At 40.0% G+C, this 3,324-nt stretch overlaps 1 annotated feature.

The window, feature by feature from the left end:
* Nucleotides 2,254-2,454: a silencer, noted in NCBI's record as "peak3942 fragment used in MPRA reporter construct". NCBI's record gives its function as "represses an SCP1 promoter by STARR-seq MPRAs in K562 erythroleukemia cells {active_cell/tissue: K562}" and the evidence as "EXISTENCE:reporter gene assay evidence [ECO:0000049][PMID:32103011]".

Genomic DNA, 3,324 nt, shown 5'->3' on the forward strand with positions numbered 1-3,324 from the left:
GGCAGCTTGGATACTAAGGAAAGCTACAGTTTATTTTTAAATTAATTCACACACATAATGTTTTAGTATTGATTTCTTTTTAAAAATGCCCTTGGATTTATTCTACATGATTCTTCCTATATGGAGGATTAGTGTCCCTGGCCTTCTGTTGTTTGCTTTTCTTATATTTTAAAACATTGGTCTAATCATCTTTAGGGATCCAGAGAAGCAGTGGTCATGTCCACGCTGGAACAGGTCGAGAGGTGATATTCCTTCTAATGTAACATACACTATTAGTTTCAACCTTGATTTCCACATGCTATGTACAGTATACATGCAGCCTTATGTGGTGGTAAAATACAAGTAAGAAATATGACTGTATCAAAAACAGATTATCGTCAGGAATTGTGAGAAAGATAAAAAGTGGAATTTCTGTCAAGAAGAAAGAATGAGATGAGCTCCGCACTATGGATTTCAACTCTCCAGTCTGCATGTGACTGGGAGTGGTGCATGTTTCCAAGATACTAAAACGCCATTACCTTGACCGTCGACATGAAGCGATCAGAGTCATATTTATTGATGAAACCCTCAGCTCCCAACCTGCCGCACTGAGTGTGCATCATACAGCTGTCAGCAGAGCCAGGGCACCACAGCGATGAGTGCTTGTGACATTTCCCTTTCATAATTTATGAAAACAAAAGATCTTGAAGTTTGTAGGACACCAGAGTAATTTTAAAATAGTCTTCACGAAGGCTATATTGTGGTCCGTACAATAAGCACTTTCCTGGCTTACGGTTTTTAGGAGAATCAATTGCAAACCAAATTAGAACCATAAACACGGCCATTATTTAAGGATTCTAATCCTGACATGAGGGTTACAAGTACAACCAGCTATTTAGGGTGGTGGTTAATTACCATCATGCCAGAGCATAATTCTCTTCATCGTGTGTGATGGTTTCACCTACACATGATTTCACAGGGGTTTTATGAGTTTAAGACCCTAAAAATCCACTTAAGTATTTTACTTCTTCAAGGTAATATTTTTCATCTGTGACACTGCTTGGTAGCTAAAAGAGAAAGCATTATTTAAAACTAAAAACTTTAAGCAAAGAGCAAAAGGATTGAGTCTTCCATACTATTATATTAGATTTGATTGAACAAGTCAGTAATGACCATGAACTGTAATTTTGAGGGGGGAGATCTCCCCAGTAAGAAATTACCCCTGAATGAAGAGTAGCAAATTGTGCCACACTGTGAGATTTTTTTGAATGTATACATATATTTTTAAAAAGTAGAAAAAACACAATATGTGACATGTGTGAATACATGCATTTTGGAATCAAGTGACCTTTATGCTCAAGTTGTTCAAGTTCAAACTTAACCAAGAAAACATCTTACAGAAATGCTAATCAATTGCCTGGTTTTGTTCATTTTGTGGTGTTGAGGTGGAGGAGAATGGGAAAGAAGACTGGGGAGAAAGATCACTGGACATATCCCATGTTTAGACATATATGATTAAAAAAAGTATGATTTTCACATCATCATTTCATTCTGCCTAGCGTACTTATGCACCTACCTATGAAATAGAATGTGGCTTATAACTATAGAATAACAAAATTACATCAAATAGGAATATGCTGTCCATATGTACATAAAATAATTTCATTATTAAAATTAATTTTATCTTAGTATCTTCCATCATCTTTCCAAACAGGAAAACAGGAAGCAATTTATTTTTCTATTCTACCCACTAAGTTAGAAATGCAATATACACTTCTAAGGCTAATTATTCAAACATATCAGAATTCCTGAAAATGACCTTGAAGCAATTAAGGGCATGTATTATATGTTTAAGGCTAGTATATATTCCCCAGAAAAGGCCTCAATCCTTATTCAGGGGAAGAAGCTGGGGAAAAGGTTGTCTTGCATTGTGTGTATGGAAAATGGGGGCACAATGGCACCAGGGTCTCAAACTGATGTAAGCAGCTCTTTCTGTTATTTGACAGGCAGCCCAGAAAACATGGGGTGATGCCTCCCAGGCTGCAAGATCAGGAAAAAATGCCCAGAACCACCCCTCCTCCCATGCATTGGCATCCCTGATAGAAAGGCAGTCCTTCTGTTCCCACGCTCTTAGCCCAAGGCCACAGTTTTTATCCCCTTCACCAACACCCACCTGGAAGAAGATGCAGGAATGAAGAAGAGCATTTTGGACCTGAGTGTGAGCAATGCTGGTCCTCACACCTGAAACACAACCCCAGCAGGGGCTACCGGTCCCTATGTGACTCCTCCTAAACTTCCACTGCTGACAGTCAGCGTTGAGAGAGGATTACGGATTGTAGATAAGACTGATATAAAGAGAAACTGAAAGTAGGGACATTTTGGCCTGGAGGCCATGGGCCTCTGAGGTTGTGCTCTTTTTTATTCCTAGCTGTGACTTAGATCAGCTTCCTGATCTCTACAATGAGCCTCACAGAGATGATTTGAGGATTAATTGAGATAAGGCACAGACCATAGTGGCTGGCACATAGCCCTCAAGAAGTAACAGCTACTACTATATTATTGTTGTTCAATGCACGAGATATAAATGCCTCTGTGAGTGTATGTGTGTGCATCTCTGTGTGTGTACATATGCATGCGTGTGTGTGTGCGTGTGCACCTATTTTCTCCTGGATCCAAAGTGTGCATGCCTATTATCCAAAGGAGGATAAGAAGGAGATAACTGGGTTTAAAACCGGAGAGTGGGAAGAGAGAGAGGAGGAGGAGGAGGAAGAGACAGAGAGAAAAGAGAGAGGGAAAGAGAATGGAAGAAGAAGGGAAGGAAAAAAGGTATAAGAAAGAAAAAGAAAAAATTATAAAAAGTCTTAGCACCTGACCCTCCTCCACGACGTGGGCATTCTTTCAACTCTTCCCCTTCAGACCCTCCAAACTGGGGCACCAATCCCAATAGGTAGGTGAGATCCCATCCAATTTATGCTGTCAGTTCATGTTCCAGATCCCCTCCCCCTTATTTCTATCTCGCAGTGATGAAGCCAGAGGAGCAGTGTAGCACGGGGGTTGAGATGAAGCCTGTCAGACAGCATCAGAGCTGAAAATTACAGCTGATTAAAGGAGTAAAAAAACCTCCAGGATCGTTTGGTATTCTCAAAATTGACAAGTTAAGGTGCTACCCCTTTAAATGTCTGGTTGGTCTCCCAGCGCTGAGATGGAGCTTTTTCTGGACCCCTGTTTGTAAACCTGAGAAACAGAAAGGAGTGACCTCCCCACCTTTGATGAAGCTTTAAAAGCTTTGTTTTCACTCTCCAGTGTTTTTTAATCTTAAAAACAAAACACCAGGAAACTTCAGTT

The sequence above is a fragment of the Homo sapiens genome, chromosome 2, assembly GCF_000001405.40.
Source record: "Homo sapiens chromosome 2, GRCh38.p14 Primary Assembly".
NCBI lineage: Eukaryota > Metazoa > Chordata > Mammalia > Primates > Hominidae > Homo > Homo sapiens.